The sequence below is a fragment of the Homo sapiens genome, chromosome X (genome assembly GCF_000001405.40).
Source record: "Homo sapiens chromosome X, GRCh38.p14 Primary Assembly".
Classification (NCBI taxonomy): Eukaryota; Metazoa; Chordata; class Mammalia; order Primates; family Hominidae; genus Homo; species Homo sapiens.
Genome location: NC_000023.11, coordinates 154,295,655 through 154,308,603, shown reverse-complemented (window position 1 = coordinate 154,308,603; position 12,949 = coordinate 154,295,655). Strand labels below are relative to the sequence as shown.

The 12,949-nt window shown below is 48.5% G+C and overlaps 1 protein-coding gene across 3 annotated transcripts in view; it reads right to left on the bottom strand.

Moving 5' to 3' along the window:
• TKTL1 (transketolase like 1) overlaps window positions 1-12,809 on the bottom strand; it is a 34,556-nt gene extending 21,747 nt beyond the window's left edge. The window contains exons 1-2 of one of the 3 annotated variants that reach the window (NM_012253.4): window positions 12,611-12,809; window positions 3,183-3,300 (exon numbers count right to left, since the gene is read on the bottom strand). In NM_012253.4, coding sequence (NP_036385.3) covers window positions 3,183-3,300; window positions 12,611-12,744 — 252 coding nt within the window. In that variant the 5' untranslated portion in view covers window positions 12,745-12,809. Of the gene's footprint in view, window positions 1-3,182; window positions 3,435-12,610 lie in introns of those variants that run through there. The other 2 variants (NM_001145933.2, NM_001145934.2) reach the window with 2 other exon arrangements.

Sequence of the window (12,949 nt, the reverse complement as noted above, 5' to 3'; positions counted from 1 at the left end):
TTCGACCTGGTCTTAAACATCCCTTGCCTCTGTCACTGCAGTGGCCTCCCAGCCTCCCCCACAGCCATTCTCAATCTAGCCACAAGGGGGAGCCTGTTAAAACTGAAGTTGACTGATCACATCGCTCAACTTTCTAAGGTCTTCCGACCTCCCACCAAGTAGAGCTCAACTGTTTGCACCTGTCTGCCCACCCCAGCCCCCATCACCTCCATTTCTCCCTTCCACTGCTCTGGCACCCTGGCCTCCTTGCTGCTCCTTGAACACAGTGGGCATACACCTGCCTCAGGGCCTTAGCACTCATGGCACCCACTACCGGAGTGCTTGTGCGTGGATGTGGGCACAGCTCACTCTCCTGCCTCTTCCAAATCCCTGCTCAAGCGTCAGCACTGAGGTCTTTCTGGACCACTCTTTTTCAACCAGTGCCTCCTACCTCCTCCACTTTTACTTGATTCCAGATGCTTGGCCCCACCTGACACTCCATCTATTGACTTAAAAGTTTGTTTCCTGCCTGTCACCCTCCTCTGCTCAAACGTCAGCGCCATTCGAGCAGAGATGAGCGAGGTCATCACTACTGTAGATGGATGGATGGTATTTACGATTCTCTGATCTCCTGCTTCTTGCTTCCTACCCTCTGCTACTCTCTGGTTGCTCTTGACCTTCCCCGGAATTCTCTGCATGCTTTGTGCCCCCCAGAGACTCCCTTTTGGTTCTGCATTTCCAGCCCAGCAGAACTGCCCCACTCAACTCAAGTCTCTTTTGACTATGCCTCTAGCCACATCTCCCTCCCTATGGCACCCACCACACTCACGTAACAAGCTCTGGCTCCCAGTCGCCTTGCATGCCCTTGGAAGTCCTATAACATAATGGACCGAGCCTGGGCTCAGCAGTCAGACCAACTCTGCTTCCCTCTGGCTGTGAAGTGTGAGGCCAGTGGGCCCATCTCAAAGACTTTATGGGTGCAATGGAGACCAGAGCCCCCTTAGGTGACAGGAGGTCAAGGATAAAGTGAGGATAGATTGAGAAAATGGTGAGGCATCAGTATGATGCCCGTTATGGCAGAAGTGCTCCCACATGGGTGCTGTCTTTCTCAAGAACCCTTATGCTGCGGGGCAGACGATTCAGGGAGGTGAAAGGCTAGAATAAAGATCTGCTCTGCCTGGAGTATAGCTGTTTACCCCGTTCCCAGGCAAACCACAATGGACTATGCTTCATGTGTTTTCTCTTTTGTTCCAATTTCATCAGCCAGCTAAATCTGATGAACACACAAATTCTGGCAGCCGAACAGGGCCTGGTGTGCTGCTGCCCGATAGAAAGCCTCTTCATCCCCTAAGGCCAATGGCTCTGATAGCAGCTGTTATATGACAGTCTAGATTTTTCTTTTTTTTTGAGACAGGGTCTTGCTCTATCTCCCAAGGCTCAAGTGATCCTCCCACCTTAGCCTCCTGAGTAGCTGCAGGCACGCACCACCACGCCCAGCTAATTTTCGTATTTTTTGTAGACACTGGGGTCTTGCTATGTTGCCCAGGCTGGTCTCAAGAGATCCTCCTGCTGGAGCCCCCAAAGCACTGGTGTGAGCCACTGTACCCAGCCTTTCCTTATTTTAAACCAGAAATCTAAACACCCATATTGCGTTTATATATCTATTTTTTTTTCAATTTTCATTGTAAAGAGGGCTGGAAGCGGTGGCTTGTTGCCTGTAATCCCAGCACTTTGGGAGGCAGAGGTGGGCGCTTGGGCCCAGGAGTTTGAGGCCAGCCTGGGCAACATAGTGAGACCATGTCTCTACAAAAAATACAAAAATTAGCCGGTCGTAGTGGCACATGCCTGTAATGCCATCTACTCAAGAGGCTGAAATGGGAAGATCGCTTGAGGCCAGGAGGTCAGGGGTGCATTGAGCTGAGACCGAGCCACTGCACTCAAGCCTGGGCAAGAGCGAGACTCTACCTCCCCAAAAAAAGAACAAAAAAAGATGTAAAAAAAGTTCAAGTTTATAGACATGTTTAAAGCCTAGCACAATGATTTCCTTCCTGTATACTGCTTACCTCCAATAACCAACTGAAAGCAATGGAAGGCATTTACTTCATCCCTCTCTCCACACATGCGCGTACACATGTAAATTCTATTTATTTTTTGCCAAACCATTTGATGTTATGGTTCAGACACCAAGACAAGGGTCACAATTATGACCTTTAGGCACTTACTTCAGCTATGCCCAGTTTTTGTCTTCACTTCCCACTGTGCTAATCTGGCATTTCTATTTGGACACAGTACTCTACCCAGCCAGATTTTTCTTTTGAGATGGAGTCTTGCTCTATCGCCCAGGCTGGAGTGCAGTGGCACGATCTCGGCTCACTGTAACCTCTGCCTCCCAGCTTCAAACAATTCTTGTGCCTCAGCCTCCCGAAAAGCTGGGATTAGAGGCATGTGCTACCATGCCTAGCTAATTTTTTTTTTTTTTAAGTGGAGACGGAGTTTTGCTATGTTGACCAGGCTGGTCTCGGACTCCTGGCCTCCAGTGATCCACCCACCTCAGTCTCCCAAAGTGCTGGGAGTACAGGCGTGAGCCACTGCACCCGGCCCCTAGCCAGGTTTTAATTTGCTTCGGGACACAGTGTACTTTGAGATGGCATCAAACCAGCCACACATTCTCAAACTGACCTTGTTTTTAAGGTTCTTTTTCTTTCCTATCACCCATGATACTTCATGAAGTGGCTGGTATTTTGCCCAATCTCATGAGAAGTGCCCATCAGTTTCAGGTCAGATGTGCAGAAACATAGAAGAGGAAGCTAACTGACAGGGGTGGGATGTCCCTCCCGGTTACACTCAAGTTCCCCCAGGCTCAGTGAGTGGGATTCACTGAGGCTGCCTGCCTCTCCTCAGGCAGCACAGAGGGTGGGAGCAGCATAACCCTGCCATGGGGGAAGCGTTCGTGCTAAGTGGGGCGAGGCAGGGTGTGACCAAAGGAAAGGAAGGACAGTCAGCTCTCCCAAGCCACCCTTCCTACCATGCCATCACAGGGCTCCAAGTGGCCCTCACTAGAACACTCGAGCTTTAAGATGCAAAGAAAGAAGAACCAAAATAATAAACGAGGCCCATTTCAGGCCTTGTTCCCACACGGTGGCTGTTCAAACTGGGCTTAACCAGCAGGCGCCACAGCAGCCCTGGGCTCCCCACCGGCATACCTTTGCGAGGACAAATCGGTCGTTGTCCGGATTCTCTGGATCTGACTGCTTGTACCTCATGATGTAGAAGAACAGCACAGACATGATCTCAGAAGAACTGCTACATGATGTAGGGTGGCTGAAAGACAGACATGACACTGGTCATTTCTCACAGCAACTGGCTTCCTAGCACACGACCTCGGCACATGGTCTCCTCATAGAAGCGGTCATTTCTCCCAGCCCGGGAAGAATCCAACCAAGGGTAAGGAATGCAGGGCTCACAGGTTGGAAGGGCGCTTTAAAGCCCGGTAAGCTCACCACCCCTCCCCCTGTGCACAGTGAGGCCAGCTCCTAACCGCAGAGCACCGTGGACTCGGGGCAAGTTTCCTTTGTGCCTCTGACATGAGTATTCTTTCACATGCTTAAATTCATCTGTGGCCTTTCCACATGCCGAGGAACTTTCAGGAGCATTGTGAATCAGAAATGCCATGAAGATCCCATTCTACCTTCTACAATGAATTTCTTTTAGGAAGTGAACGGTGACAGACTGAGAAATTTGTCATGGTAGAGTAACTGAGGCCCTTTCTGAATGCTGCCAAAGTAACTGCTGCTCTTAGAAAGCGGCCTGCATGTGAGTCCAGCCAGGCCCTAATTAATTAAAAAGGGGGAGGGGACAAGACAGCAGGGGACAAAACCAACTCCCTGGAGCTCTGCCCCAACTGCAAGTAAAAAAAGATGTTAGGCCCAGCTCATATTAATAATCTCTCATTTCAAATTTCACTAAGAAAGTCCCCATTAAGAAAATGGGGACTGTCCCTCCCCCATTTTCTTAATGGGGACCCGCGAAGGGATGGGCCCTCACTCTGTCACCCAGGCTGGAGTGCAGTGGCATGATCATAGCTCATTGCAGCCTCGACCTCCTGGGCTCAAGTGATTCTCCCGCCTCGGCCTCCCAAGGTGCTGGGATTACAGGCATGAGCCACGCACCCAGCCTGATAAAAAAAAAGCTTCAAAGGACACAAAAAGAGGGCTTTTGCACGTGCAATTGTCGAAGGTGACTGATGAATGGTTTTGGGGTGCTGATGGCAGAGCCCACCAGGCTGCAGGGCTGGCGTGGACATTCTCCTGCAGGGCTGGCGTGCACATTCTCCAGGACCCCTCGTTCACACTCACTGTCCTGGACATCTTCCCTGCATTGCTGGGATACCTTGTTCTTTATTCACTAAGCTCTTTCCTGGCTCAGTGAGAGAAAACTCAAGAGGCCCCGGCAGCAGAGGAGTAACAGGCTTCAGTGGAGAAGGGACCGAGAAGGAAGTAATTGGAAATCTCTTCTTCCTCTCAGGTTCCATCTCCTCTGCTCTCTCCCCACTGCTGAGGGTCGGTAGAAAGGGGGGTGACACACTCCCACCCCATCCTTGTCACACTGTGATCTCCCCCAACGCATCAGTGTCTGCACCTTTGAGGCTCCAAAAAGACGATGTGCCCTTTCTACTTTGGAAAATCACAATTCTCAGAAGACCAACAGAAATGCATGTAGAAAATGATGGAAGTTACTGGGTATCAGAGAACACGATGACCTGAATGAGCAAGAAGATGGTGGGGGGCGGGGGGTAGGGTGGAAGCCAGCTAGGACTCGGTAGTGACAAATGCATAACTATTTGCTTATTTTCAGTGCCTTTTGCTTCAAGTGAGAGGTTTCTGCTCTCCCATGGTGAAGTGTGAGGCATAAATCCTGCTTCATTATGGGGGACTTCCAGGGGGGTGGCACGCAGCCCAGGAGTCCCCCTGGCATGATGAGGGGGAAGTTGGGAAAGAGAAGCAGAAAAGAAAATGGAAGGGGGCCAAACGCAGGAGGTGTGAGGAGGAAAGCCAAGGAAGACGAGGGAAGAGGGAATGATAAAAAGGAGGGAGAGGCCAGGCGTGGGGGCTCACACCTGTAATCCCGGCTCTTCTGGAGGATGATGCAGGAGGATTGCTTGAGCCCAGGAGTTTGAGACCAGCATGGGCAACATGGTGAAACCTCGTCTTTCCAAAAAAAAAAAAAAAAAAAAAAAAAAAAAAAATTAGCTGGGCAGGGTGGCATGCACCTGCAGTTCAAGCTACTTGGGAGGCTGAGGTGGGAGGGTTGCTTAAGCCCAGGAGGTCAAGGCTGTAGTGAGCCATGATCACGCCACTGCACCTCTAGGCTGAGCAACAGAGTGAAACCCTGCCTCAAAATAAATAAATAAATAAATAAATAAATAAATAAATAAATAAATAAATAAAAATTTTAAAAAATGGGGAATGAGAGGTAGGGTCTAATAAGTAGAAGGCAAGGTAGGAGGCTGGCGCAGGAAACGAGTCAGGGTGTTATTTTGTGCGCTAATGCAATGGGTTAACGCATTCGTTTCCTAAGCCTGCCAGGGTGAGTTGCCACAAACGTGATGGCTCAAAACAGAAATCCAGAATCCAGGTGGCAGCAGGGCCACGCTCTCTCCCTAGGTCCTAGGGGAGGATCGCCCTCGCCCCTGCCTCTCCAGCTACTGCTGGCCCTAGGTGTTCTTCGTCTTGCAGCTGGGTCACTCCCGTCCCTGCCTCTCTGCCTTCACAGGACCTTTTCTCCTGCGTTTCTCCACGGTGTCTGTGTGTCTCCAATCTCTCTTTTCTTTCTCTTATAAGGACACTAGTCACTGGATTTAGGGTCCACCCTAAGTCCAGGATGATCTTATCTCAAGATCCTTAACTTAATTTCACCTACAAAACCCTATTTCCAAATAAGATCACATTCACAGGTACGGGAGGCCATGGACTGAATGTGTCCCCCCAGAATTCCTATGCTGAAATCCTAATGCCAGTGTGACAGTATTTGGAGGCAGGGCCTTTGGGAGGTGATTACGCTGTGAGAGTGGAGCCCTCATGAATGGGATCAGCGCCTTTATGAGAAGAGGCTGGAGACCGACCATGTGAGGATACGGGGGGGAAGGTAGTGCTCTTGAGCCCAGTAGCAGGTCCTCGCCAGAACTGACCATGCTAGCACCTTGATCTTGGATTTGTAGCCTCCAGACAGTGAGAGACGAATATCTGCTGTTTAAGCCACCCAGTCTTGGCATTTCTTATAACAGCCCTAAGTGATAACTGATTTGGGTGCCCCTATTCAACCCTTGTTTTGACTTAGATGACATTCTCTACAGGGAAAATTTCTTAGGACTATTGGACAAAATGTAAAGTTCTCTTCTTGCTTTTTGCTTTGTTTTGCAAAAAAAAAAGAAAGAGGAATGGGTCAACCAGAACATCTGGAAAGTCTGGAGTATCACTGAGGAAACACAGGGCGATTGAGAACCCGAAAGTGAATGGAAACCTACGATAGAAGTGAGATATGCTTTTCTGTTGTCACCTCATCGGACTGTGTGTGATGACACAAATGCCAATAGCCGGCAAACAGCGAGGAAACCAACATGATCCTGACAGTTTCAGGAGTGCCCACGCTGAATGATTTTTAAGTTGACTATCTGCCTAAAATAAATAATTGTCTCATTTAAAAAAAAAAAAGAAAAAAGAAAATGGGGACTTAGGCCGGGCACAGTGGCTCATGCCTGTAATCCCAGCATCTTGGGAGGCCGAGGTGGGCGGATCACCTGAGGTCGGGAGTTCGAAACCAGCCTGACCAACATGGAGAAACCCCGTCTCTACTAAAAAAAAAAAAAAAAAGAAAGAAAATGGGGACTAAAACCTCTTGCTTTGCAAATGTCCTGTAAGTGGATGATTTAGATTTAAAAGCCACACAGATCCCTTGAGAAAATGCAGCCATCTGTTACTAATTTTGAAGGTGAAGGGAACAAAATGAACATGTACAAAAAATTCAGACATATATGGTTCTTAACTGCATCCACACTGTCCTCTTACTATCTAGCCCAGGCTCTGGAGCAAGATTTATTTATTTATTTTTTGAGACACAGTCTCACTCTGTTGCCCAGGCTGGAGTACAGTGGCACTCTCTCGGCTCACTGCAACCTCCACCTTCCGGGTTCAAGTGATTTTCCTGCCTCGGCCTCCCAAGTATCTGGGATTACAGAGGTGCACCACCACGCCCGGCTAATTTTTGCATTTTTAGTAGAGACAGGGTTTCACCATGTTGGCCAAGCTGGTCTCAAACTCCTGACCTCAGGTGATCCACCCCACCTCAGCCTCCCAAAGTGCTGGGATTACAGGCATGAGCCACCGCGCCTGGCCAACAAGATTTAAAAAAACATATTGCACTAAGTATTTTCTCTAACCACAATGGGATGAGGTTAGAAATCAATAATAGATGGAAAACTGGAAAATTCACAAATTTGTGAAAATTAAGCAACACACTCTTACACAACCAAAAGCCAATGGCGAAATAAATAAAGGGCATCCAAATTGGAGAAGAGGAAGTCAAACTAGTGCTGTAACACTGATGATACGATCATACAGCTAGAAAACCCTAGGCCAGGCGCGGTTGGCTCACATCTGTAATTCCAGCACTTTGGGAGGCCGAGATGGGCAGATCACCTGAGGTTAGGAGTTCAAGACCAGCCTGGCCATGGTCTGGTGAAACTTTGTCTCTACCAAAAATACAAAAATTTGCCGGGTGCGGTGGCACACACCTGTAGTCCCAGCTACTCGGGTAAGGCAGGAGAATCGCTTGAACCCGGGAGGTGGAGGTTGCAGCGAGCCGAGATCATGCCACTGCACTCCAGCCTGGGTGACAGAAACTCCATCAAAAACAAGCAAACAAACAAACACAAACAAACAAAATCCTAAAGACTCATCCAAAAGACTCTTAGATCTGATGAACAAATTCAGTAGTCTCAGGTTACAAAATAAATGCACACAAATCAGTAGCACTACACCAACAACGACCAAGCTTGAGAATCAAGAACTCAATCCCTTTTACAACAGCTGTAAACAGCAAAAACAACAAATAAAACCCACCCTAGGAATATACTTAACCAAGGAGGTGAAAGACAGCTACAAGAAAAACTACAAAACACTACTGAAAGACATCACAGATGACACAAACAAAGATATCTCATGCTCATGGATAGGAAGAATCAATATTGTGAAAATGGCCATACTGCCCAAAGCAATCTACAGATTCAATGCAATTCCCATCAAAATACACCATCGGGCTGGGCACGGTGGCTCACGCCTGTAATCCCAGCACTTTGGGAGGCCAAGGCAGGCGATCACCAGGTCAAGAGACCGAGATCAGCCTGGCCAACATGGTGAAACCCCGTCTCTACTAAAAATACAAAAATTAGCTGGCAGTGGTGGCGTGTGCCTGTAGTCCCAGCTACTCGGGAGGCTAAGGCACGAGAATCGCTTGAACCCGGACAGCAGAGGTTGCAGTGAGCCAACATTGCGCCACTGCCCTCCAGCCTGGGCGACAGAGCAAGACTCCGTCTCAAGACAAAAAAAAAAAAAAAAAATACTAAAAGTAGTAGATTACCATCTATCTACCATTCAATCCAGAAATTCCACTACTGGCTATCTACCCAAAGGAAAAAAAGTCATTATATGAAAAAGGTACATGCACACACATGTTTATAGGCAGCACAATTCACAATTGCAAAGATAAGGAACCAACCTAAGTGTCCATCAACCAATGAGTGGATAAAGAAGGTGGTGTATATACAACATGGAATACTGCTCAGCCATAAAAAACAATGTATTTTGCAGCAACTTGGGTGGAGCTGGAGGTCATTATTTTAAGCGAAGTAACTCAGGAATAGAAAACCAAATACTGTATGTTTTCACTTGTAAGTGGAGCTAAGTTTTGGAGTGATATAACGGACTTTGGGGAGGAGAATGAAGGGGGAAGGTAGGAAGGAGGTGAGGGATAAAAGACTACATATTGGGGACAATGTACACTGCTTGGGTGATGGGTACACTAAAATCTCAGAATTCACCAATATAGAATTTATTCACATAAGCAAAAACAACTTATACCCCTAACACTATTAAAATTAAAAAAAGAAAATGAGAGGCTGGGTGCGGTGGCTCATGCCTGTAATCCCAGCACTTTGGGAAGCCGAGGTGGGCGGATCACCTGAGGTCGGGAGTTTGAGACCAGCCTGACCAACATGGAGAAACACCGTCTCTACTAAAAACACAAAATTAGCTGGGCGTGGAGGTGCATGCGTGTAATCCCAGCTACTTGGGAGGCCGAGGCAGGAGAATTGCTTGAACCTGGGAGGCAGAGGTTGTGGTAAGCCTAGATTGTGCCACTGCACTCCAGCCTGGGCAACAAAAGCAAAACTCCGTCTCAAAAAAAAAAAAAAAAAAAAAAAGAAAGAAAAAGAAAATGAAAAATCCCTTAGAGACAAATGAAAACAGAAGTACAAAATACCAAAACCTATGTGATGTAGCAAAAGCAGTGCCAAGTGGGACATTTCTAGCTGTAAACACATTTTTTAAAACCCCTCACATCTGGCCGGGTGCGGTGGCTCACACTTGTAATCCCAGCACTTTGGGAGCCGAAGCGGGCAGATCACTTGAGGCCAGGGGTCTGAAACCAACCTGGCCAACAAGGAGAAACCCCATCTCTAGCCTGGGCGACACAGCAAGACTCTGTCTCAAAAAATAATAATAAATAAATAACCCTTCAAATCAACAACCTAACTTTACAACGTAAGGACTAAACCCAAAGCTAGCAGGAGAAAGGAAATAAAAAAGATCAAAGCACAAATAAAACAGAGACTAAGAAAATAGAAAAAATTTAATGAAACCAATTTTTTTTTCTTTTTGAGACAGGGTCTCAGTTTGTCACCCAGGCTGGAGTGTAGGGCACAAACATGGCTCACTGCAGCCTCAAGCAATCCTTCCGCCTCAGCCTTCCGAGTAGCTGAGACTACAGGTGCTCGCCATGTCTAGCTAATTGTTGTATTTTTGGCAGAGACGGGGTTTCCCCATGTTGCCCAGGCTTGTCCTGAACTCTTGAGCTCAAGTGATCCAGCTGCCTCGGCCTCCTAAAGTGCTGAGGTTACAGGCGTGAGCCACCTCCCCTAGCCAAAGCTGGTTCTTTATAAAAGGTCAACAAAACTAGCTATTAATAGATGGGCAGGGCATGGTGGTGTGCACCTGTAGTTCCAGCTACTCAAGAGGCTGAGAGGAAGGAGAGTCGCTTGAGCCCACGAGAGTTCGAGGCTGCAGTGAACTATGATTGCACCACTGCACTCCAGCCTGGGTGAAAGAGCAAGACCCTGCTTAAAAAAAAAAAGTACAATCAAGTTAAAGTGGAGTCATTAATACCGCTTCTACAGAAATAAAAAGAGTGACAGTGTACTATGAATAACTGCATGCCAACAAATGGACTAACCTACAAGAAATGGATAAATTCCTAGAAACAGAAAGCCTCACAAAACTTAATCAGGACAAGAAAATCTGAATAGACCTACAACTAACTAGTAAGGAGACTAAAGCAGTAATAAAAAAAACGCCCAATAAATAAAAGCCTCATTCGTAATTACTGCCAAACATTTAAAGAAAAATTAACAACAGTCTTCTTCAAACTCCTCAAAAAAAAATTTTTTTTTCTCTACAAGGTCTCGCTTCCTCTGTTCCCCAGGCCGTAGTGGCACAATCTTAGTTCACTGCAAACTCTGTCCCCCGCGTAGCTGGGACTACAGGCACGTGCCACCACGCCCAGCTAATTTTTGTAACATTCTGCACAGGGGATTGCCATCTTGCCCAGGCTGATCTCGAACTTTCTAGGCTCACACGATCCGCCTGCTTTGGCCTCTCAAAGTCCTGGGATTACAGGTTGGAGCCACCACGCCCGACCTCTCCAAAAAATTTAAGGTGGAACACTTTGAAACTCATCCTATGAAGCCAGCATTACACTTTTGATACCAAAAGCAAATACTACAACAAAACTATAGACCAGGCCAGGCGCGGTGGCTCACGCCTGTAATCCCAGCACTTTGGGAGGCCGAGGCGGGCGGATCACGAGGTCAGGAGATCGAGACCATCCTGGCTAACACGGGGAAACCCCGTCTCCACTAAAAAACAGAAAAAATTAGCCAGGCGTGGTGGCGGGCGCCTGCAGTCCCAGCTACTCCGGAGGCTGAGGCAGGAGAATGGCGTGAACCCAGGAGGCGGAGCTTGTAGTGAGCCAAAATCGTGCCACTGCACTCCAGCCTGGGCGACAGTGATACTTCGTCTCAAAACAAAAAAAGAAAAAAAAAACAAAAAAAACCTGTAGACCAATATCCCTTATACTGATGCAAAAACCATCAACCGCATACTAGCAAATTCAACAGCTCATTTTTGTTCCAATTCGTACTCAATTCCCGGTTTCTTTTACTTTATTTTTTTAGAGACAGGGTCTCACTGTTTGCCAAGCTGAATGCGAACTCCTGGGCTCAAGCGATCCTCCCTCCTCAGGCCCCACGTACTGAGACTGCAGGCGTGAGCCACCGCCCTCAGCTGGGTTTAACTTTTTTTTCTTTGAGGCACGGTCTCGCTCTTGCCCAGGCTGGAGTGCGGTGGCGCAATCTCAGTTCACTGTAACCTGAGCCTCTCAGCCTCCCGCGTAGCTGGGACTACAGGCACGTGCCACCACGCCCAGCTAATTTTTGTAACATTTTGTACAGAGGTTCGCCATCTTGCCCAGGCTGATCTCGAACTAGTTTCTAGGCTCACACGATCCGTCTGCCTCGGCCTCCCAAAGTGCTTGGGATTACAGGTGGCAGCCACTACACCCAGCCACTCCAAAAAATTTAAGATGGAACACTTTGAAACATCCTATGAAGCCAGCATTACACTTTGATACCAAAACCAAATACTACAATACAACTAGAGACCAATATCCCTCAAACTGATGCAAAAACCATCAACTGCATACCAGCAAACCCAACAGCACAAGCAAGCCTCCCGAATAGCTGGGAGTGCAGGTGTGCGCCCCCATGCCCGACTCATTTTTTATTTTTATTTTTTGGTAAGAGACGGGGTTTCGCCATGTTGCCCAGGCTGGAATTTTAATTGCTTTTTATCCTCACATCCTGGGTTAGAGTCGCTCATTCACCCTCGGGGATCCAGTACAACTGCTTACCAGGGAAGCCCTGCTCCCCGCTAAAATGAAAACCACAGCTAGCCCAATCTGATCCCAGTGACATTCTCCCGCCACCTCAGTCCAGTCTGGATCCTTTGTCTCCCAACTGGAGATCTTGGCGACCTCCAGAACTTTGGCCGTGGGTAAATTGAGGGGCGGGCTCCAGAACCCGCGGCTGACCAACCAACCGACCGACCCTTGGGTTGGCGGGAATAGTGCCTCGCTGCCATCTAGGGTGCTCGACCGGGCCCCAACAGCCCAAGACAGGGCATTACGACACAGCCCATTGTGCCTCTGAAGGCTCTCCCTTCACCACACGGCCTCATGGCCACCAGGCCTGAAGCCACCGGGCCCGTGGCCCTGCATGACCCAGACTTCAATGAGGAGAACTTACCCGGAGCTCGTGGAGCATGTGGCCCTGATGGAATGGATTCGCAAGCGGCTGGCCATATCTTGCAACACCTGCAAGGTGCCCCTGTCAGGTCTGGCCTCCTCCGGGAACTCAGCCCTCGCCTCAGCATCCGCCATTAGTCCAACCCCTTTGGAGTCTGAAGACCCACTCCTACGTCTCCGGCGTCTGAAGAGCGAATGGCGCCTGCGAGCTGCCCAGTGCGTTTATGTGATGTCGGTGCAGCTCCCTCCGCATGCCTCGTGCCACTCCCTCCACCTGCCGCTCCCTCCGCCGGCCGCTCCCTCCGCAAGCAAGTCAAGGGATCTGGAATGTTTGTGACTT